This window comes from Homo sapiens, chromosome 5, assembly GCF_000001405.40.
Source record: "Homo sapiens chromosome 5, GRCh38.p14 Primary Assembly".
Taxonomy (NCBI): Eukaryota; Metazoa; Chordata; class Mammalia; order Primates; family Hominidae; genus Homo; species Homo sapiens.
Window position 1 is genome coordinate 14,340,155 of NC_000005.10, and position 23,219 is coordinate 14,363,373.

Consider the following 23,219-nt stretch of genomic DNA (forward strand, 5'->3'; position numbering starts at 1 on the left):
GAGGCTGAGGCAGTTGGATCACGAGGTCAGGAGATCGAGACCATCCTGGCTAACACACGGTGAAACCCCGTCTCTACTAAAAATACAAAAAAATTAGCCAGGCGTGGTGGCGGGCGCCTGTAGTCCCAGCTACTTGGGAGGCTGAGGCAGGAGAATGGCATGAACCTGGGAGGCAGAGCTTGCAGTGAGCCGAGATTGTGCCACTGCACTCCAGCCTGGGCAACAGAGCAAGACTCCGTCTGGAAAAAAAAAAAAAAAAAGAAAAAGTAGCTTGTCTTTTTCATTTAGGCAAATTCATGAAGCTTTTTTAGAAGTTGCTAAAGGCTCTCGTGACAGAAGTTAGTCTTCCTTGCTGCCAGGTGTTCCACAGTGGCTCTCGTCCTCACTTTATCTGGAGTATAGTTGTCACTGTCTCTTTTTGCAATAAATTCCTGGCCCTCTGATGAACAAGTAATACAAACATGAGGTCATAACAACTCACTTTAAAAAGGTGCAAAGTCAAGGTGATGTTTACTGAGCATTAGCTCAGGAATCTCTTTAAGAAACCCCTGGAAGAAGGTGGCTGCCGGAAGTCTTGTTGAAGACCAGGCTCTTAGACTCCAAAAACTGAGACCTCTGTACTCTGGTTCTTTTACCCCAGAGGACAGAATAGACACTTGTTCCTGAGAAGAGAGAAAAGGGGATGCATTTTACCTAGGGGACAAATATTTTCTACCTCGAGGTAGAATGCAGCAGGTGGTTGATAGAAATTTCAGCCCATTTGCCCCTCAAGCCCAGATTTGGAAGTATTCCAAGATGCTGTTTTCTCTAAAAAGAATCCTGAGGTTCGTAGCCTCCTTTCAGAATGCCTGCAGCCTGGTGCTTTGTTCTGTTTTTGTTTTGTTTTTTAAGTATTTGGAAGGAATGTTGATTGGCCTGACATAAGTTTGGGTTTGATTTGGGAGGATCTTTCTCCTCCTACACGTTGTCATCCACTCTTAGTCCCCCTGCAGTATGCATTCCCCTTCAGTCCTGTGTATGGCATTTATTCACATCAGTTCTGTTGATAATGCTCCTGCTATTTGTCCTTTTTTGTTTGTCCTCCTTTCCTTTTGAATGCATTTTTCACTGTTTATTTGTTCATTCACTCTTTTCACTCATTCATTCCAAAGGGTCTCTCAAGGCAATGGTAATGTGCAAGGAGGTGATACCTAAATGAATGACCAAAAGAACATGCTTCTGCTTTTGTGTGTCTCCTACATTTTAGACATTTGTTTGTTTCTCTTGGTAGCCTTTAAATTCCTTGAAGCCCAGGACCATGTCTCACTTACCTTTGTGTTTCCACTAACTAGTCTACCTCCTGGAATTGGCAGATACTCAGTGAAAGCCTGTGAAATAAGTGATGTCTATTTCTAGCATATTATTCTGAGATTTAATGATAGATTTAGTGATTGAATGAGATTTCCATTTTCAAATACAGCAAAAGCATAACTATTTTCATTCATTCATATTCATTCAACTTCATTCTCAAAATTAGGTCCTGAGTTAACTAATAATTACCTTTGAAATGTGTGGGTTATTTGAGGCAATCAGGTGGTGACATTGAGCTCTCAGCCAGAGTTTGTTTCTGGAATTGATTCAGTTCCATTGCATTGATTTTTGTTCTCAGAAGCCAAGGTTTCCCAGGAAAAATCATTCCCACTTGAATTGGGCTGTGATTCTTGCTGCGTTTAAGTAAAGGAAGCCTCTTGGTTCTAGTTCTGCAAACTTACACACTGAACTGGGACAAGTTTTTGTTTAGAGTAATGGCTGGGAAAAGAGGAACCTTTCATTTTATTCAGAAGTCAAAAACAAAGGCCTCCCAGCCACCTGGAGATGTTTTGTTGCAGACACCAGCCTGGCTCTGTCTTTATGCCTAACAATTGAGCATCCAGTCTTCTTTGTGCTGGGACCATTGCTCAGCTCTGCAAGGGGAAAAGAGGGAGAAAGCCAGAGCTGCCAGGCTTCTTGCACTGGGGCCGGGGGAGGGTTCCTGGGAAGCAGGTGCTCTCTGGCTTCTTGGTACGTGAGGCTCTCGGAGCTGCCTCTCCTCTGACCCTCAGGTCCTCACCGAGTTTGCTCCAGGAGTATATTGAAAACATACCCAGTGCTCTCTCAAGCACCCACTGCTTAGAGGGCCCAGATTTCTTTTCCTTCTTTCCCTTGCAGAGCTGGAGACTGCATCGGGCATCTGGTGTTTAAACTAAACAGGAAAACTGACTAAAGGTCCACAGTGCTCATTGTGTAGACTAGCTGCCCTCCGATGGGTGCTCTGATTATCAGTGGTTCCAGTGCAGGGCCTGTCACTAAACAGGCCTCACTTCCTCCTTGGGGGCTTTCCCATGGGAGGTGTGGCTTTTTACTCTACATGGAAATGACTCTCTGCAGCCACAGAACACAGTCATTTTCTGAATTATCCCAGTCTCTCATGCGCCCTGGATTCCTCCAGATGCCTTATATCTCTTGTGCAAAGTTGTCTAAAATTTGGTTCCCAGCTTCCAAGCCTTGCCTTTTGGCCTTCCTGGAAGTATTTTTGTTGATGAGTCGTCTGTCATTATTCTCTAAAATGATTTGCTTTTTGTTTCTTTCATTCCTATTTCCACCCCACATATACACACATGCTTCTTAACTTAGGGGATTACATGCCAATAAATCTATTGTTGAAAATGCACTAATACTATCGCAAAGATGAAAATTCACAGGCTGAACCGTTGTAAGTCCATATGCTCCTCAACTTACATGTGTGATGGAGTTATGCCCAAATAAGTCCATCGTCAAGTTGAAAAATCAAAATCAAGCCATCTTAGGTTGAGGACCATTTGTTTGTACCTCCAAAGATGTCATATCTTTAAACATACTCCCTAGCTTTTCTTTTTACTTTTTATTTTGAAGTAATTATAGAATCACAGAAAGTTGCAAAAAAAAAAAAAAAAAGAGAGAGAAATGGACAAGGAGGTCCCATGCATCTTCACCAAGCCTCCCACAGCGGTAGCATCTTGCATAACCTCAGCACACAATCAAACCAGGACACTGACTTTGCTGCAGCCCTCAAGGCTTATTCACTTTCCGCGAGGTTTAGATGTGTATGTGTGCCCATGTGTATGTGTGTGTTTAGTCCTGTGCAATTGTATCATGTATAGATTTGTGTAACCACCATCACTTTCAAGATACAGAACCATACAGAATTTTCCCATCATCAAAGGGTTCCCTGCACTGGCTTCCTTCAGTGATATCTAACCCCTGCTCCATCTCTAACCCCTGGCAACCACTTATCTGTTCTTCTCTGCTTCTATTATTTTGTTATTTCTAAAATGTTACATAAATGGAGTCATGCAGCATGTAACTTTTTGAGATGGCTTTTTTTTAACTCAGCACAATTCCTTTGACACACCCACTTTGTCGCATGTGTCTGTAGTAGTTCCTTCCTCTTTATTGCTGAGTGGTATTTCATGGTCTGGATATATCACAGTTTATTTAACTATTTGTCCACTGGGGACATTCGAGTTATTTTCCGTTTTTGGCTATTACAGGGAAATACACAGAAATTATGAACAATCCTGTCTAGGTTTTTGCGTGAACATGGTTTTCATTTCTTTGGAACAAATGCCCAGGAGTGCGTTTGCTGGGTCCTTTGGTAAGCACACGTTTAGTTTTTAAAAGACACTGCCAAACTGTTTTCCAGAATGAGCGTACCATGGTACATTACCACCAGAAATGTATGTGAGTGATCTTCAGCTCTTCAGCATCTTACAAGTCCAGGATTGCTTTAAGCTTGTCAGTGAGAATGGTTAAAATCCAGTATGTAATATTTTAGAGTAGAAAGTTCAGTGTATATGATCGAGCCTCAGTAATTTTTGTTTAATATGAATTATTTAGCTGCGCTCTTTAGTGCATTAAATTCTCTCTATATGCTTTTACACATTTGATTTCTTTATTTTTCTGACATGGGTACAAATGAGTAATTAAATATGTCCACCAGCTGGTGAAAGCAAGAGGAAACTAACAGCCTAGAACTGTCGACTGCATCATCAGCCCCTGTGTGACTGAGCATTAGATTTGACCTTGGCATCACTTGGCACCTGCTGGCGTAGCATTATGTCTTTACATAGACTGCGGTATCTAGCGTGGCATACTGATTTTAAAAAACAGGTGGTCTTCCCATTGGTGGGAATATCCAAAAAAAATACATCTAGTCAATTATGTCTTTCTATAAAAATATAATCTTTATTGAAATAATTGAGAAAATATAGTATAACAAACACACCCCCTAAATTTGCTGAGTGATCTGGGATAAGTTACTGTGTAGTACCTCAACTTCCTTAGCTACAATATAGGATAATACAATCTCTAAGGAAAGTGAGACAAATTAAATTACACGTGGAAAGCACCTCAGAATGCTTTTCTTAGGGTAGCTGCTGGCCAGTGTTCTTTTTTCCTGTCCTGACCCCGATTGTAACATCGATATAGATAAAATAATACAGACTTTAAAGTAAGGGGCAAAGATACAAATATCTAGGTATAATGTTGTCTCTACCTCATTAATCTTTGAACAACAGTAACTGCTTAATCTTCCTGTCCTCCTCCGAGTAATAACCTCACTCTGATCCTATTCTTAACATCAAAACCAAAAGCCTTTCGTGGGATATACACAACTCTGTCCATCTCCAGCTGCTGGCCCTCAGAGCAGAGTAGACTGCTGGGAAGAACCCTTACCCATAGTTCCCTTCATATTGGCAAAAATCATTTTGTACACATCACTAAGTACAAAGTATTTAGATCTTAGATCCCAGCTAAAGTTTCAACAGAAATAAGTGATTTTTTTTTCCTCCAAATAAACATGTATAAAGCATTTGTACTGGCCAGTGGGAAGAGAGTGATATTATAATATTATCTGAAAGGAAAGTCCTTTTATCAGAATAACTTAAAACGCTACATTTTTTTTCTGTAAGATGATGTAAAATTGTGGTTTAAATTTATACAATTTTTATTTGTTAACATCGGATCACTATTTTCAAGTAGAGAAAAGTTTTATGCCAACAGAGAGCTTAGAAGTTATTGTGGAAGATCATGCAGTGCTGATATACCTGACACATCATAGTCACCGAGTAGATGATTATCGGATGAAGGAATTAACAATATATTATCTTCATTTGTAACGCAGTTTTTCAGTAGGGATTGATTGAAAATATAAGACTGTCCACTGACTTCAGATTTTATAGTTTCTTGCTGAGGGTCATTTGTAAATGGAGGGTTGTAAATGTCTGCTTTAATTAGCTGTTTGTCAGTAGGACTTGATTAATGTAATGTAAAAGGTGAGGCACTTCAACACAAGGTCAAGAGATGAAGTGTTAAGGCCTTAAAATGCCCAATTGGAAATAGGCGTACATGAATAGCCCTGTTTTTTTTGAGACATAGTCTCACTCTGTCACCCAGGCTGGAGTGCAGTGGTGTGATCTTGGCTCACTGCAACCTCTGTCTCTCAGGTTCAAGCAGTTCTCCTGCCTCAGCCTCCCAAGTAGCTGGGATTACAGGCGTGTGCCACCATTTTAGTAGAGACAGGTTTCACCACGTTGGCCAGGCTGGCCTCAGACTCCTGACCTCAAGTGATCCACCCACCTCAGCTTCCCAAAGTGCTGGGATTATAGACATGAGCCACTGTGCCCAGCCCTGTTTACTTGTTAAATTTCTGTTTTAAAGGGCATTTTATGATTCTCTATTTCTTATTTTGTTACTCAGCTTCATAAACTAAATATTTTATTATCAAAGAACCACAAGTCTTTGGTGAGGAAAGAGGTAAACTTACCTGTATGTATTTTCGTATGTATTTCTGACACATTTGTACTGATCTTCGTTGTTCTTATTGAATAGGTAGAGAGATTGGCCAACAATGTATTAGCTAGAGTTTTGCCAGGACAGCTTAAAAGCTCCAGATAAGCCAGGCTTGGAGAGACTGGTAAGGCTTTTTGGGTTTTGTTATCATTTGTTTGTTTTCCCTTCCATTTGTTGAGGTACAAAAATCAGAACCAGAAGATCAAGGAAGGGTTGAGCTTTCTGCTTGAGAGCTGTGATGTTGATGAACGACAAGCAGAAAGTGGACCCCATCATCTCTCACTTTGGTTCTTGGTCTCCTCGAGGGGAGCACTCTCCAGACATAGGCCAGAAGAAGCAAAAGCCCCAAATGGTGAAGGCTTTGTAAGGAAAGACTTATTTAATCTAAGCACGTTCAAGCCTCTGTTCTAGGACAAATTAGATCCCTGGGTACCAAAAGAACTTGATAATTATATCACCATATTGAGCATATCAGTCCAAGCAACTGTGGGAAAGTGGGCTGATGCCAGAAGCTGAAAACGCACTTGTGCTTTTTAAAGAAGGTGGATTTCACGCATTACTCAGAGTGAGGTTAATCCTAGGCAGAGTTCTAGAGACAATTTTTAAACCGCTGGTCAGGAAAAGTGAATGAACAAGTTATAATGTGTTAACTTTATTTTGTTCTCTACTAGGTTTCTGGCTTGAGGAAGGACATGTGGTGGAATTAGTGGGCAGGCATTTGACCAGGCCTTTCAACATTTAATTTGTAGACAAGAAAGGAAAGTATGGGCTATCTCTTAGTTACTAGAATTAGACTGTTGAATGGCTATAATAAAAGAATCAACCAAGGGTGCTAGCACGAGACCAAAACTCTCCTCATCCTCCCACACTGATCTCCAGGTAGAAGATGTCAGGAGGCAAGCTTCTGATAGTAAGACAGTCCTCATACCCCACAGGTCAGTAAGGAAGTCACGTCCAGTCTGGAGCCACAGTTAGATCAGACGTGCTGACTGACAAAGGTAGTGGTGGATGATGCTGGACCAGTCATCTCAGGTGGACCTGAGGTCCTGCAGAACAGAGATGATGCTGGACCAGTCATCTCAGGCGGACCTGAGGTCCTGCAGAACAGAGATGATGCTGGACCAGTCATCTCAGGCGGACCTGAGGTCCTGCAGAACAGAGATGATGCTGGACCAGTCATCTCAGGCGGACCTGAGGTCCTGCAGAACAGAGATGATGCTGGACCAGTCATCTCAGGCGGACCTGAGGTCCTGCAGAACAGAGATGATGCTGGACCAGTCATCTCAGGCGGACCTGAGGTCCTGCAGAACAGAGATGATGCTGGACCAGTCATCTCAGGTGGACCTGAGGTCCTGCAGAACAGAGATGATGCTGGACCAGTCATCTCAGGTGGACCTGAGGTCCTGCAGAACAGACTAGTTTAATCCCTGGTGTCACCGCCTGTAGGGGAGAAGAGTGCAGTCTTGCCTTTTAACTGACTCCACGTAACCTATTCAGGACTTTTATGTCTGTATGTGACATCTGGAGAGACTGCTCATCCCAATTCAGGCATCCGGAAAACTACTTTGCTGTGTTAAGCGCTATTTTTCTTAAAAATGGGCAAATTTCCAGCGTATAGCAAGGACAGGCTTAGTGCCACAGCCGAAATAATTGTTGCTGCATTAAAAGCTTTGCAAGTGAGACTGTCAGTGCAGAGGTTGGTGAGTGGATGACGTCAGCAGTGCTGGAGGGAGTTTCTAGCGTCATGTTGCAGGTGTCTGTTCTCATGCAGAAAGCCTGTGAGTGGTTGAATTGGTTTGGAAGGTGTGTGTATCAAATCTAGACAAGGGCCTGTCAGATACGTCAGGTGCTAGAATTCAGATCCCAACAGATCTCAGCACCAAATCAACCACAGAAAGTTTCATTAATCAGTTTTAATATATGAGTGTTTTGAATCAGTACAGAGTAAGAATCACATAGGTGGCAACAGCATGTGTTTAATGAAGAAATGAGCTTACATGTGTTATTTGGTTGAGTCCACAATGCTGTCATGCCCCCAAATAACTCCTTCCACTGTGGTGACCAAGGGAGGCCGTCGTCTTGCTTTCTGGCTGCTGTTTGGATCACGTGGGTATTGTGTACAGTTGTCCAGTCCCTATGTCGTTTTGTTTTGCTTAATGAATATCACATCAATTTAATGTGTCCACACTGGGCAAAACTGACTTGAGGAGTGTGAGAGTAATAAAAACAGGATATATTCCAGAATGATCATCTGGTAAGAACATGCCCTGGAAGCTATAGTTATAATATCCTCGAACAGATTACACTGGTTATTTATACACTCTTTAGACTTCTTAGTGCTCAACAATTGATGAAATACCATTTCTGGGGAGTCATGCTTATGTTTAATTTTCAGTAAGGACTGGCCACAGTTCTATTTATTTCTACTAAAAACATCTCCTTGGCAAGGAAAATGCCCTTTCCATTTTCCTGCTTGTGTGTGCGTGTGTCTGTATGTACGTGCACATGCACGTGAGGATGTGTTTTTCCTGCTTGTATATGTGTGTGCACACACATCAGCATGTTTTTCCTGCGTGTATATGCATGTGCATGCACATCAGCATGTGTGCTTTTCCTGCATGTGTGTACACAAACATGCATGTGAACCTGTTTTTCCTGTGTGTATATGTGTGTGTACGCACATGAGCATGTTTTTCCTGCATGTTTATGTGTGTGTACGCACATGAGCATGTGTTTTTCCTCTGTGTGTGTACGCACATGAGCATGTGTGTTTTTCCTGCATGTTTGTGTGTGTACGCACGTGAGCATGTGTTTTTCCTGCGTGTTTATGTGTGTGTACGCACGTGAGCATGTTTTTCCTGTATATGTGTATGCACATGAGCATGTGTTTTTCCTGCATGTTTGTGTGTGTACGCACGTGAGCATGTGTTTTTCCTGTATGTGTGTACACACGTGAGCATGTGTGTTTTTCCTGTGTGTATATGTGTGCGCACGCACATGAGCATGTTTTTCTTGTGTGTTTATTTATGTGTACGCACGTGAGCATGTGTTTTTCCTGCATGTTTGTGTGTATGCACATGAGCATGTGTGTTTTTCCTGTGTGTATATGTGTGTGCATGCACATGAGCATGTTTTTCCTGCGTGTTTGTGGGTGTGTATGCACGTGAGCATGTGTGTTTTTCCTGTGTGTATATGTGTGCACACACATGATCATGTGTGTTTTTCCTGTGTGTTTGTGTGTGCACACACGTGAGCATGTGTTTTTCCTGTGTGTATGTGTGTACGCACGTGAGCATGTGTTTTTCCTGTGTGTATATGTGTGTGCACGCACATGAGCATGTGTTTTTCCTGCATATGTGTGCACACATGTGAGCATGTGTGTGTTTTACCCTATTATTCCATATCTCTTTCCTTGCTCTTTTTTTTAAGTGTTAAAGACTTTTACTTTCAGACTATTTTAGAGGAGTCATTTCATTAAACCTTTTGGAATCCCACTGAAGCCGCAGGGCCCAAGGTTAAGCTGTGCTCTTCCCTTAGGAATTGACAGTCGTGGCGACTGCTGTCTTTAGTACATTACCAGGAAGTTTCCAAGTGGCAGTTCTACAAGATGAGCCCTTGAAGAAGCCAATCCTGTTTTCTATCTTTTGCTTTCAACATACGAGGTGAACTTTTACCTTTCTCCATTTAATATAAACCAAAATCCGTCTTTTAAAAAAATGTTTATTTTTAACTTTTATTTTAGATTCAGGGGTACATGTGCAGGCTTGTTATATAGATAAACTCATGTCACAGGGGGTTGGTGTACAGATTATTTCTTCACCAAGGTACTAAGCATAGTACCCAATAGGTATTTTTTCTGATCCTTTTCCTCCTCCCAGCCTCCACCTTCAAGTAGGTCCTAGTGTCTGTTGTTCCTCTCTTTGTGTCCATGTATTCTTACTGTTTAGCTCCCACTTGTAAGTGAGAACATGGGTAGTTGGTTTTCTGTTCATGCATTAGTTTGCTAAGGATAACGGCCTCCAGCTCTGTCTATGTTGTTGCAAAGGACACGATCTTTCTTTTTTATGACTGCATAGTATACTCTGAAAGGGGAGAGTGTTGGGAGGAGAGTGAGCTTGTGTCAAAGGAGCTCCAGGTCATGCTCTGCCCGCAGAGTTCAAGAAATAAAATGTCACCCTAAGGAAAGGCAGGCAGGCTGTGAGAACATGGGCACGATCTGCAGGTATTTGAAGACTTGCCACGGCAAAGAGGAATTACACTTTGGCCAACCGCAGTGAGAGACTGTGGCTGCTCTCCAAATGACCTGAGGGTGGGGGAGCAGCATTTCCCAAACTTGACACCCCTGGGTAACAACTTTTGTTGAAGAGAGTGTCTTACCTTGCGGGGATGTTGGGCAATGGAAAGAAAATAAAAAAAACCCCAAAGTCAAATTCTTCTTTTAGACTTGATACTGTTTGGTTAGTTTAAGTCCATGGTGTTCCGTCTGTGAGCTTTGGCCCCAGGTTAGTCACGTCCATCTTCTGTCCTACTTGGGTGTCATCGCCACATCCCCTGTGCCTTATCTGTACTCAGTCTCGCACCTCTGCAGGGCATCTACCCTCTGGTGCTGGAGTGTCCACGCACTGTCCCATCTTAACGTGCATAGCTGCCCTGAATATGCCCCTGTGTTTCTTCTGCTTTTTCCTCCTTTCTTACATGTAATACATTTGCATGGATAATTACTTCATGATGCTAACTTTGGTTTGCCCTCTGTTCCTCCCCACCTCCACCCCATACATCCTTCATAAATTTTCTTTGATCATATTAAGGCGGCGGTCCCCAGGGACCGGTTTTGTGGAAGACGATTTTTCCACAGACCAGCGGTGTTGGTGGGGGCAGGGATGGTTTTAGGGTGAAACTGATCTGCCTCAGATTATCAGGCGTTAGTTAGATTCTCATCCCGTAAGGAGTGCACAACCTGGATTCCTCGCATGCACAATTCACAGTAGGGTTCACAGTCCTGTGAGAATCTAATGCCGCTGCTGATCTGACAGGAGGCTGAACTCAGGTGTTAATGACCACTTGCCTGCTGCTCACCTCCCACTGTGCAGCCCAGCTCCTAACAAGCCACAGATCAGTACTGGTCCGCAGCCCACACATTGGTGACCCCTGTATTAAGGGATCTTTTACTCCACCTACCCAAGAATGAAAAGGTGCTTCCCGGACTCTACTCTTTCTTATCAGGGCAGCAGGCATGTGGACCCACAGTACAGTTCGTCATTTCAGACAGAGGAACATGCTGCACGTGGATGAGGCAGTTCTGTTTTTATCCCTGGTTTTTATACCTGAAACTGTGTCACATTTTATGTGCATAGTGGTTGTCCTCTGAGATTCCACCTGCAAGTTGCCATTGAAACTCCTACTTCTGCTTCTGACTTGCAGCAGCTCTGGGAAGCTGTGGCTTTCATACTTCCCCTGCTGGCCCTATGGCTCGCCCATTCCCACAAGTACCCAGATGATTGTCTTTGTCAAAAACAAGAGTAGGGAAACAGATACCAATGGCAACAGCTTCTGTTCACCAAGTGCTTATAGAAGTTGAATACTTCACACGTGGATTCTCACTCCGGCTTCCCAGTTAGAGAAGATGCATGTAGTAAAATGCTTTCATTACATACAGGAGAAAACTGAAGATAGAGTGCTCCAAGAATTTCCCAAGGCCACACATAGGATAAGGACCCCAGGAGATGTGTTGGGCCCCTCCTTCCATACCCCACCTCCAGACGGACACCGATTTTAGCCTGGGTTCAAACTGCATCAGCTTGTACCCCACTGGGGAGCACAGAGAGGTTGCAGCTGGAACAATTCCCAGCTTAGGGCCCTGATCCTACTTTCGACTTAACTGGAGGCTTGGTCCTTTCCGAGGGTCCACCACCCCAGCCAGGTCCTCTAGGCATCCTCTGTGGCGGGGTCTCCCTTTCCAGGTAGTGAGGAGGGGCCTTTTCATCTCAAAAGCTAGCTTTTCAAGGGGATTTCTTCCAGCAGAGCTGTGGGGCCCATAGAGGCTTGTGGGAGGCTTCCCACATCTTAATCACTCGGGTTTTCACCACAGAACTCCATGTCCCTTCCTAGTCATCCTTCTGTGTGGATCCTGGTCCATGAGCCGGGCCCTGTACACACCTGCAGCCCACTTGTGGGCTGAGTTCAGGTCCTCTTCCACCCAGCCCTCTGGCCTGCAGATCCCCTGGGCACCTCTCAGCACTAGAGATGGCCAGCAATAGCTCTGATGGCCTCCAGGGGGCAGCCTTGCCTAACCCTGTGGCTGCCAGACCTGCTTCTGTTTCTCAGTAGAATCCAGACTGCTGTGAACTTCCATAGGACACAACTCTCTTGCTGCTGGGCAAAGATTTATCTTTTTATTATAAATTTGCAGCATGCCCAGAAGTACAATTTTTCCTCTTAGGAGTTTATGGTAAGAATTTTATAGGCATCCTAGAGGTTTTTTCTCGTTGCTTTATTCAGGGATATTTTAGGCATCATGTACACCATTTTAAAAACTTAAAAACAGACTTTCCTTGAGTGATGTTTCATTATGATGTGTGCCCATTCATCCCCAGTTGATATTAGAAGTGACCTTTATCTAAGACTTTTTTCTCCAAATTGAATGAGAATATTTCCTGTAGGACCAGACAGAAAAATTCCGAAGGGGCAAATATTTTAAATGGTTAAAATGTAGCCTTGCTCCTTCTGCCTCATTTAGTTTGGTCCTTTTTTAATGTCATGATCCCAGGATCAGTTCCTTCACGGTCTCCTCAGTACCCGCGCTGGTTTCACCAGCCAGCGGGAGGATGAGCACATCCAGTGTGCGGTAAAATATCCAGGATGTTGCGGGGAATACGCTAGTTTTTGGGTTTTTTTTTTTTTAACTACCAGGTGGAAGGGAAAACGTTTGACCCCTAAAGATTCATGGCGCTTCCCCTAGAATTGAGAGGAAGTGATTTCTATAGACTCTAACAGACTAATTCTAGCACGTTTTCCTCATACTGTACTATTTTTAGGAGTAAAAAGATTTAAATGTGGGATGATGTTAAGTTTACTAGACCAAGTGACATATTTTGAACAATTGGTAGGAACCCGAATGTGTTTTGAAAAATATCTAGAGAAGGAAGATTTTAAAACTGTGATCTTTCTTATTATTAGAAGAGTTTTTCTTAGAACAAAAACAGTAACAGTGGCTAGCATTTACTTATTTCTTCACTCTGCATTGTCTTCTCATTGAAACTTCTAAGCAACTTTTTTTTTTTTTTTTTTTTTGAGACTGAGTCGCCCAGGCTGGAGTGCAGTGGCATGATCTCAGTTCACTGCACCCTCTGCCTCCCAATTCAAGCGATTCTCCTGCCTCAGCCTCCCAAGTAGCTGGGACTACATGTGTGTGCCACCACGCCCAGCTATTTTTTTGTATTTTTAGTAGAGACAGGGTTTCACTATATTGGCCAGGCTGGTCTCAAACTCCTGACCTCAGGTGATCTGCCCGCCTCGACCTCTGAGTGCTGGGAAATACAGGCGTGAACCACCACACCCAGCCCCAAGCAACTTTTTGAGGCAGGCATTATTACCATGCCCATTTTATAGATGAGAAAACAGAGCTGGATCCAGGTAACTTGTCAAAGTTACACCCTAGGAAGTGTTAAGTCAGTGCTTGAACGCAAGCAGTCTGGCTTTGCAACCTACACTCTTAGTCATTATTGTCTATTACCTCCTATGAGAAGTGTTTGATTTGAATGATCGTTTATGGAAGAAGCACTAATAGTAACTCTTAGGCTGTTGCAGTGGAGTTGCATAGAAGCACAGCTATGTATCGTGCATCCGGCCAGTTCTGAGTCATTTTTCATCTTCTCTTCACCGGAGTGTAAAAATGAGACTTGGTAAAATCGTTTTGTATCTTAAGTGTTATTTTTGGTAGTATTTGCTGGAGAAGAGGAATTTTGCAGAGGTCCCCACCCAAATGGCCAGCCTGCCCCCCTTCCTGTACCACGAGTTGGGTCCTTGAGTGAGGCCTCACAGTGAGTCAGGGGACAGGCTGCTGATCTCCCAGTTCAGGGCCCAGACATCCCCGAGCTTCGGCTGGCAGGGCTTCAGGGAGAGGGCCCAGCGGTGCTGGGGGCCTGACCCCTACTGTCTGAGCAGGGCTGGGAGGGTGGTTGGGACACCTGTATTTCAGGGCCCTGTTACGAGGTGTGTCCTGTCCAGGGTATGTGGATTCTCTTCTGCTGTCTTGATTAATTTTGTTCTGTTTTGCTGATTTTGCTGTTTTTCTAGTAGGCTTTTTTTAAAAAAGCGTTTTTGTTTTCTCAACAGATTTAAAAGAAGAGATATTAATTTCTATTAGTGGCATAAGAACCTAGCTAAAGGGGAGTGCAGCTACAGCCAGAGGCCTCCATTGGCTCCTGCCAGCAGGGGACCTGGTTTCTCAGTGCCCAGAAGGGCAGCTTGTCACTGAGTGACCCGGACGCCCTCCTGCTGCGCTGCAGGTTCAATATTTGGGTCAGAGTTGGCTCCTTTACCTTTATTTTCAGCTACATTTCTTCCAATTTGATTGGAGTGAGAGAAGAGCAATGGGCTGCAGGATTGTAGAGTGTCAGCTGTTTTCTGAGGACCTTTTTCAGATGTACATTTGCTTAAATCATTCACTTCTGCTCCAAGTTTGAACATAAAGTGCAGAGGCAGCACCGTTGGTAGCGTCTTGGCAGTGGGACAGAGTAATAAGCTAACTATGCAGAGTCCCCTGTTGATTCCTTAAGTGTTCTCCATTTTTTGTCCATTGATTAGTACTATAGTTATCACAGGCAGGGGACCCGGGAATACTCCATTTCCTAGGTCCCATTGGACAGTGACAAGGGTGAGGGCAGCTTCAGTGAAGCAAATGTATTCAGGCAGAAGATACAGTTGAGATTTTTGAGAGAAAGGAGTGAAATAAATGGTTTATTTTCTTTGTGAGCAGAATCAGTGCAGTTGCACAGCACCGCTTTTTCATCAGCGTCCAACTGAGGAGAGGAAGTTGGAAGGTGGGAGGCTGCAGTGGCTCCGTGCGACTCAAAGGGTTTGCTTTGGGAGTGAGTGGGCACCCTCTGTGTGTGGCCAGTTGCTCACCCCACCCCACCACCTGCATGTGGAAGGCAGGTTACCATCTTAAGTAGAAATGTCCATGGATTGGATAATGTCATGGATGTTTTTGATTAAATATTTTGACTCTTTCATGAAACATTACAGCCTTGTTCTGGTAAATGGTTAGTTATAGCTCAGCGCAGCCAAGTTGGCACATACTTGGTTTGTTAGAGCAAATCTTGCCTGTTCAGTTAATTTAAGTCCATCCTTATAACCAGGGTAATAATTTTGTCCAGAGCGTTGCTGTTGACGTGAAGCCCTCTGCTGTGTCCTCTTTCATCTGCTCCTCGTAGTGACGCCTTTAGGTGGCATTGATATTCCTAGGATCCCTGTTTTAGCAAACTGAGTCTCTGAGAAATTTAAGTGATCTTTTAGGTCACACAGCTAATGCTTTGTAAAGCATTTCCTAAATCCAGATCGCCTTACTCTAAATCTTATAATACTGTTACTACTATGCCATGTGACTTGGCAACTTGGAATGTTTTTCATGGGAAATGTTAGTGCAAATTGGAAGAGTCCTTCATGCTATGATCTTTCCTATTTATAAATGCAACTGCCATGTTCATGAGAATTTAGAGGAAAACAAAAGAACAAGAAAGCATCTTATTGATGATAAAGCCTTTATAGATGGTGCAGAGCATCAGTTCAGATTTGATGAATTGGTGCGTGGCATTTTCATGTGGAATTAAATACTGATGCCAACTGTGGCTCAGTATTCTTTCTGATACCAGCTTTTGGGCATAGTACTTCATCACCTGGGGCTTCTCTTCCTTAATGTATAAAATGAAAATTTTGAACTAGCTTATCTCTAAAACTCCATTGATTAAAATTCTTGAACTGTATGAAATTTGATAACTTAGACACAAAAAATAGGTAGATAATATGAGAAAAGTTAACAAATGTTTTATTTACTTTAATATTTTCAGTAAAATTAATTCTTAGGACCCTGGGTAACAGGATTGAAAAATAACTTCTTTGCCAGCACTTTTCTTATTTTAAAATTGGCCTGCTATATTTTAAATGTGTACTGACCTGCAAATAACAATAAAAGTATATTTTATGTATGTAAATATTGCTCAGTGAACAAATTGTAGTATGGAATTGATACTAAGATTTTCTGTGTTAAAAATGGAAGTCAGTTTCCCTATGCATATTTCAGAGAAACAAAGTCATCTGGTAATAGTGTGTTTTTGAAGATATGTTTGACAGCAAAAGAACACTTAAAAGCTTAGCTTGGATTTGCCATCATTAGTAATTAGGGAATTGGAAATTGAAACCATAGTGAGATATACCACTCATTTAGAATGGCTTAAGTTAAAAAGACTGACCACATCAGTTATTGGTGAGGAAGTGGAGGAATTGAAACTCTCATACGCTGCTGGTGGGAAGGTAAAAATGATACACCACTTTGGAAAAGCTTGGCAGTTTCTTAAGTTAAGCATACACCTGCCATATGATCCAGCCATTCTACACCTAGGTATTTATCTAAAAGGAAGGAAATCATAAGTTCATACAGAGGTTGTGCCCAAATGTTTACAGCAGCTTTATTTGTAGTGGCTCCAAACTGGAAATAACCGAGATGCCCACCAGCAGATGAAGGGATCAATTGTGGTTTCACACATGCAGGGACTGCTATTCGACAGTGGAAAGGAACGAACCCTTGATACACACAGTAGTATGGATAAATCTCAGGGTAATTATGCTGAATGAAAGAAGCTGGACAGAAAAAAAAAGAGTACATACTGTCCCATTCCAGTTCTAGAAATTATTTTAGAAAATGCAAGGTAATCTCCAGTGGCTGAGAGCAGGTGAGTGCCAGGGAGGGAGCATGACAGAGGGCATCAGCCAGCTTTGAGGTGAGGGAGAGGCTCACGGTGAAGTGGGTATAGACAAATGTCAGAACTCACATTGGACACTTTACATTTGTGCAGCTTATAGTATGTCAGTTAGTCCTCAGTAAAGCCGTTTTGTAAAAAGCTTGGCTTGGAAACAGAAGACCACATGCACACACAGTTTCTTTCTGCAAGTGCAGTTTTGACTTATGAGTCTTGAGGCAGCAGGCGTTGCACAGGGTATCAAGCGGGAGGTCCCGACTTGCCCCATCTCACCAGCTGAGCCGGCTGTCCCCACTAGACATACAGAAGATGCGTGAGCTGACTCTTAGTCCCTGAGGAGGCTGAAAGCATTTTCTCTACATACAAGCCACCAGGGCCCATTTAATGTAATTAATTGTCTTTTTCAGTTCCGTGAATAGTACCCCAGAGATCTGCAGGAGTTAATGGACTTTCAGGAAGTAGGCTCTGCTCCCTGGCTCCCACCTGGCCCAAAGTCATTCTTGCCACTCTCATTCCAGGGTGTCTTTACTCATCTAGGTCTCCAGCAGCCTGTTTTATGGTGGTGGCAGTGGAGGTGTCTGCATCTTTTCAGCATGCACACTCTTTCCGTTGAAGGCCCGAACTGTTGGCAGCCTGATTGTGGGGCCTGGGCTCGTGCCGTCACCTCCCTAGCTCCACACCCTGGTCCCTGGCCAGGCTCGGTGGTGAATTCCTCTCATCACATTGTGCACTTCCTTCTGTGTGCTTCCGGGGGAAATCGGTGGTTTAATAATGAAAAATTGAAATACAAGTGTCCACCTGCTAAGTAAGAGCCCGAGACATATCAGCAGATGTTTCTGCGAACTGAGGGTCTTTTCTTATTTCCACTGCAGTCTGGATTGAGCCTCGGGAGAATGGGAAAGAGCAGCTTCCCTTCCCTTTCCTTTTTCTCTTTTGTGACAGTGCTGCCCGCCGTTCGCCTGTTTATTTTCCTCCCTGCGGCGGTGGCATGCTGCTTTTGTTGTGCATGTGTTCCGCTGGCAGTGGGACTGGATGCCCCTCCCTCCCGTCCTTCCTTCCTTCCCTCCGGGAGTGGTCTGTCACCAGTCCCCTCCCAGGGCAAGTCACACACCGTCTCCACTGGGGCCCCTTGGACACCGGGCGGCCCACCTGGTGGTGCAGCCAGGCCGGCCGGCCTCACCCCCCTCTCCCCTTCCCCAGCTGTGGACGTGGCTGGAGGAGCTGCAGAAGGAGCTGCTGGACGACGTGTATGCCGAGTCGGTGGAGGCCGTGCAGGACCTCATCAAGCGCTTTGGCCAGCAGCAGCAGACCACCCTGCAGGTGACTGTCAACGTGATCAAGGAAGGGGAGGACCTCATCCAGCAGCTCAGGTGGGCCTCACCCCTCTCCTGGTCCGAACAGATTCTGAAACCCTGCCTGTGACTCCCCTTCCCCTTTTACTCTTGTGAGTGGTCAGCTCTGCTTCTCTGTCCAGCTGAGTGCAGAGCTAGTAGTGTCTGTGAAGGCAAAGGAGAGAGAAACGGCTCTCTTCTCTCTTTTCCTTTCCCCTCCCTTCTCTCCCTCCTTACAGTTTTAACTTCATAATAGTTTTCATTATAACATCGACTAATAAACCACATAATTTAATTTTAATATTTTCTCTTAACATCCAACTAGTAATTATTGACACTTCTTTATAAACCAGATTAATGTGAGCTTCCAAGGATTGCGCCCTCAGGCTGATCTAGAGCACAGCAGTATTCACCTCCCAACGTCCAGATTCAGTCAGGCCTGCATGGGGCGGACACCCACCCCCAAGTGCTCTTCAAAGCAGGATATGGAGGCAGAGCCAGGATTGGTTTTGTTTCCTCTGGAAGCAAATTTTTTTTATTGGGTCAGGGGGACCATTTAACCCCCTACTGTATCACTCAGGAAAATTTATCAAATCGTTGACTGATAACTTTACGTGACGTTCACTTTGCTGAGAGAGGCAGGCAGCAGTTACTTAATAAAGGCTTAATTGATTGCATTAAAGGTTAACCTCTCGTGTCCAATATGACTCTGTCATTTATACTAACCAGGTATCATCCATTTTTTACTTAAGAAGAAAAGTGGCTAAAAATACAACTCTAAAGTAATTTTCTATAATTATTAGCCTTCTTACCAAGTGATTTCAGAAAATGCCAGAGAAATTCTTCAATGTATCCTCAGATTCAGCAGGATTGCCCCGAGGAGGAAGCCTAATATTGTTTTGCAGGAGAGCAGCCCGTTCCATTTTCTGAGACAAGCAGTGCAGCTTCCTGCCAGCTTTCTTCCCCTGAAGATTTGCGTGGCCGGATCTGGTATCTAACAATGTGTGACTTTCTCATCCAATTCCTGTTCCTCTGTGTGCTCTCGCAGGGACTCTGCCATCTCCAGTAACAAGACCCCCCACAACAGCTCCATCAACCACATTGAGACGGTGCTGCAGCAGCTGGACGAGGCGCAGTCGCAGATGGAGGAGCTCTTCCAGGAGCGCAAGATCAAGCTGGAGCTCTTCCTGCAGCTGCGCATCTTCGAGAGGGACGCCATCGACGTGAGTGTCCCGCGGCTGGCGCCTGCCTGCCTGTGGGAGCCCTTGGCTTCCTCCACAGCACCGGCGCCCTCTTGTCTCTGCCCTGCTGAGGTCCTGTGTCCTCACCCACACCCCAACCCTCTGCACCAGGAGGGGGTGTGGGAGGGAGAGAGGGTCCCTGGAGGCTGGAATTGGATCATCCCTGGGAGGCTGGGGTATGCTCAGCCCTGGACCCTAATGTTGGAAACTATAGAGCAGGCAGCTCGCGTGGCAGGAGCAGAGCACAGCAAGCGCTGAGCGGAACAGAAGGAAGCCAGCACAGCTTTCTCTCGGCCTTGGGGTGTTAAAACCTCGATTGGGTTGCACACAGCACTCCCTTGTCCTCAGCTTAGGCACAGGCATCAGCTTCAGGCAGCAAGTCTTCCTCTCTTCCTCCCTGTCGTCTTCTCATCCTTCCCACTCTCCTCCTGTCCTCACCCTCCCCTTTTCTCTCTCTCTCCACCTTCTCTCTCTCCTACCTTTTCTCTTCCTTGCTTCCTCCCTTTCTCTTTCCATCTTTCTCTCTCTTGCCCTTCTCTCTTCTAGAGTGGGAATAATCCTGACTTGTGGTCGTAGCATTTTAGGTAACAAAAAACACAATTTCCCCCCACAAAGAGGTGTTCTTAGATTATCCATGATTCTTACCTAAACGTGGACTTTTGCATCTTATATGTGAACAGGAGAAAGAATTTACAGGTGTCTTTTATCTTTCTTCAACAAAAAGAGAGTGGTTCTGGGTTCTGTGCTTAGGAGGAGCTCTCTTTTTTGATACCATGCGAGCAGAAGTCAGTCCAATCACATGAGCACGAATTTACCTGGGAACGTGACGTAAGGAGCCTAAGCTCCCCTCAGTGGTGAGCCTGCTCTCCTGGAGTCTAGCCGCTTCTTACAGCTGGTGGCTGTGACAGCCCGAAGGCCTCCTCCACATACCTCTGGGCTGCCCTGTGGGTCCTCTGTGATGGACACCTGTAGAGCACACCCTCTCAATATTTATTTCTTGTCTCTGGTTTAGAATTCATCAGCAGTCCTTGGCACTCAGGCTGGGGATGGCAGGGCTGTGCGTAGCCTGCCCTCAGTCACCTCGGTACAGGAGGGACCTTCTGCCCATAGTGGGCCGTGTGGCTTCCCCTGGGCCTGTCTATAGGCCTGCCCTGGGGAGTGGTTTTGGTTTGTGGTGCAAGGGCCAGACCAGCCCTGCGCAGGACTCTCCTGGATGCCTTTGCTTGGCCACTTGTCTAAGTCTCCGGCACTGTTTTCGTTAACAACAGACCTTCTTGGCTCTGCTCATTCTCATCATTAGTGAATAACAAGAAAGGAGTCAAACCCTAAACATGTGGCATGGTGAAACCTGTTCAGATGCTCTCAAAGTCTTGACATTTAGATCCACATGGAGCCATGTGGAGAAGAGGCACCTGCACGCCGACCTCTGCCCCGTGAGGGCCTGCCATGTCCTCCCCAAGGTAGCAGCACAGAATAAACGGGAGGCCAGCCACGCCTACTTTCCTCTCTGACTTCAAAGGACTCGCTTTTGTAAAACTTAGCTGCATATTGAATATTTTCAACTAGAAAACACAAACCAACCAGAAGCATTAGTTGCAGTTTTTCTTCCAGGACATTTTGATACTTGAAAAAAAAAATCGATTCGTTTATCTTAATACTATAAAGAGAAAAAAATTTTTAATATTTAAAAAATTGTATTTATCGTAAGTATATGAAAGTACTTCCGCTTTCATTGAACCAGATTAGGAAACAAAAACATACATTTTTCCCCCAACAAAGCCACGAAATTACAAGTGCCCTAGTTAGAGCCAGTGTGCCACAGCCTGGGGGAGCTCATCCTGAGCAGAGGAAGCTGTACCTGCAGCCCAGTCTCAGGCCAGCTTCAGATATGGTTCAGAAGCTGTTAGAAGATCACAGCCTGAGAACCTCTGTTCTCTTTAATCCTGAAAAATGAAAATCTGAGCAGTTCAGGCTTTGGCCAGGTTTCCTCTGTTATCCAGGAAGATGCCACATCTGACGGCCCATAGGAGTATGGAGTTATGTCGATGGTAGAATTGATCTGTTACCCGGTTAATTTATTTTAAGTCCCTCATATCTCTTGTGTTTCAATTGGAGTAGCGTCTCCATCTCAGATGTGGATGGAGGTCCAGTGTGGACAGTCCTCCTGTGGAGAAGGTGCATAGGATCCACGGAAAATGTCACTCCACTGAAGTGGGTGGTGTCGTCATCTCTCGCAAGAAGCTTTTCCTGCTTTTTAGATTTTATAATCTTTTTAAAGTTTATTATGGCCAGACGTGGTGGCTCACGCCTATAATCCTAGCACTTTGGGAGGCCAAGGTGGGCAGATCACCTGAGGTCAGGAGTTCGAGACCAGCCTGGTCAACATGGTGAAACCCCATCTCTACTAAAAATACAAAAATTAGGCGTGGTGGCGTGCACCTGTACTCCCAGCTACTTGGGAGACTGAGACAGGAGAATTGCTTGAACCCCAGAGGCAGAGGTTGCCATGAGGGGAGATTGCACCATTGCACTCCAGCCTGGGTGACAAGAGTGGAACTCCATCTCTGAATGAATGAATGTCTTCAAAGCTATACCGAAGCACAGAGGACAGTACAGTGGAACTACCGTGTGCCTGTCCCACAGATTCAGCATGATTTTGCCAGACTGGTTAAGCTTCTTTGGTTATGGCTGTGCTATAGTATTTTAGAGAAAATCATTGCCAGTTTATTCTTTCACTCCTAATGGTTTTTCTAAAAGATGAGGCCATTTTCTTACATCCCCTCAATCAACTAAACATCTCCCCAATTTGACAGTCATTTCTTATTGTCATCGACTCCCAGCGTGTTCGGATTGATGTGGGTGCCTCAATTAGGAGGCATGTGAGGTTGGCTCTTGTGTTTAATGGTCAGTTTCTTAATCTAGAATTGTCTCTCCTTTGTCCTCCTCCTCTTCTTTTCATGCCATCATTTGCTGAAATAACTAGATTGGTTGTCAAAGGAACCAGATCCCACATTCAGTGTTTGTTCACTTGTATTATTTTAGATTGTGTAACTTTTAGTTTCCCTGGCGTTTCCTCTAAACTTAGAAGTTAGATGCAAAGACCTGATTCTGGTTCTGTTTTTGTGCACGAGTCTTTGCGAGGTGGTGCATCGTAGTTCCCCATGCGAAGGCTGGGCCTGTCTAATCCCACTTCCCTCGGGACCCTGAGGCCGGTTCAGGCACCATTATGCTGAGCCTTCTGTGGTTAAGTCCCCTCAGCCTTTTTCTCACGACAGTTTACTATGCGCTGATGATCATTGCTTATGAGAATGTGAAAACAATTTTCAATTTTATTATTCTTTCTGCATTTAATAGCTAGATTCATCTATAAAGAGGAATTCTTCATTATGAAATGTTCTTTTATCTTTTAATTAAGCACCAATATTTAGGATAATGATTGGTTTTCTATCTACTTTTTTTTTTTTTTTTTGAGACAGGGTCTCACTCTTGCCCATGCTGGAGTGTAATGGTGCCATCTCAGCTTACTGCAACCTCTGCCTCCCAGGTTCAAGCGATCCTCCTACCTCAGCCTCCCAAGTAGCTGGGACTACAGGCACATGCCACCACGCCCAGCTAATTTTTGTATTTTTTGGTAGAGATGGGGTTTTGCCATGTTGACCAAGCTGTTCTTGAACTCCTGACCTCAAGTGATCCGCCCACCTTGGCCTCCCAAAGTGCTGGGATTATAGGCGTGAGCCACCACCCCCAGCCGATTTACTGTCTACTTCTAGTGGAGACCAAATACTTTTTCTTTTCTTTCTTTTTGACTTTTAGCTTCTCTTACT

The 23,219-nt window shown here is 44.4% G+C and overlaps 1 protein-coding gene and 1 long non-coding RNA gene across 12 annotated transcripts in view, besides 2 other annotated features; both read left to right on the forward strand.

Annotated features, from left to right (window-relative positions):
* The window catches only part of TRIO (trio Rho guanine nucleotide exchange factor), a 366,863-nt gene that overhangs the window by 196,813 nt on the left and 146,831 nt on the right, over positions 1–23,219 (forward strand). For all 11 annotated transcript variants that reach the window (NR_134469.2, XM_047417679.1, NM_007118.4 and 8 more), the window contains 2 exons: positions 18,024–18,193; positions 19,203–19,377. Coding sequence is in view for 10 of the 11 variants with exons in the window: in XM_047417679.1 (XP_047273635.1) it covers positions 18,024–18,193; positions 19,203–19,377 (345 nt within the window). In the remaining variant the exon portion in view is untranslated. The remainder of the gene's footprint in view (positions 1–18,023; positions 18,194–19,202; positions 19,378–23,219) is intronic.
* On the forward strand, positions 5,711–13,148 carry LOC124900943 (uncharacterized). The gene is made up of 2 exons (XR_007058698.1): positions 5,711–7,145; positions 7,248–13,148. It is a non-coding gene; the product is annotated as an uncharacterized LOC124900943 (long non-coding RNA).
* Positions 6,711–7,212: an enhancer, noted in NCBI's record as "OCT4 hESC enhancer chr5:14346974-14347475 (GRCh37/hg19 assembly coordinates)". NCBI's record gives its function as "activates a minimal SCP1, AML or CMV promoter by ChIP-STARR-seq in naive H9 embryonic stem cells {active_cell/tissue: H9 hESC(naive)}" and the evidence as "EXISTENCE:reporter gene assay evidence [ECO:0000049][PMID:30033119]".
* Positions 17,846–18,535: an enhancer, noted in NCBI's record as "H3K27ac-H3K4me1 hESC enhancer chr5:14358109-14358798 (GRCh37/hg19 assembly coordinates)". NCBI's record gives its function as "activates a minimal SCP1, AML or CMV promoter by ChIP-STARR-seq in naive H9 embryonic stem cells {active_cell/tissue: H9 hESC(naive)}" and the evidence as "EXISTENCE:reporter gene assay evidence [ECO:0000049][PMID:30033119]".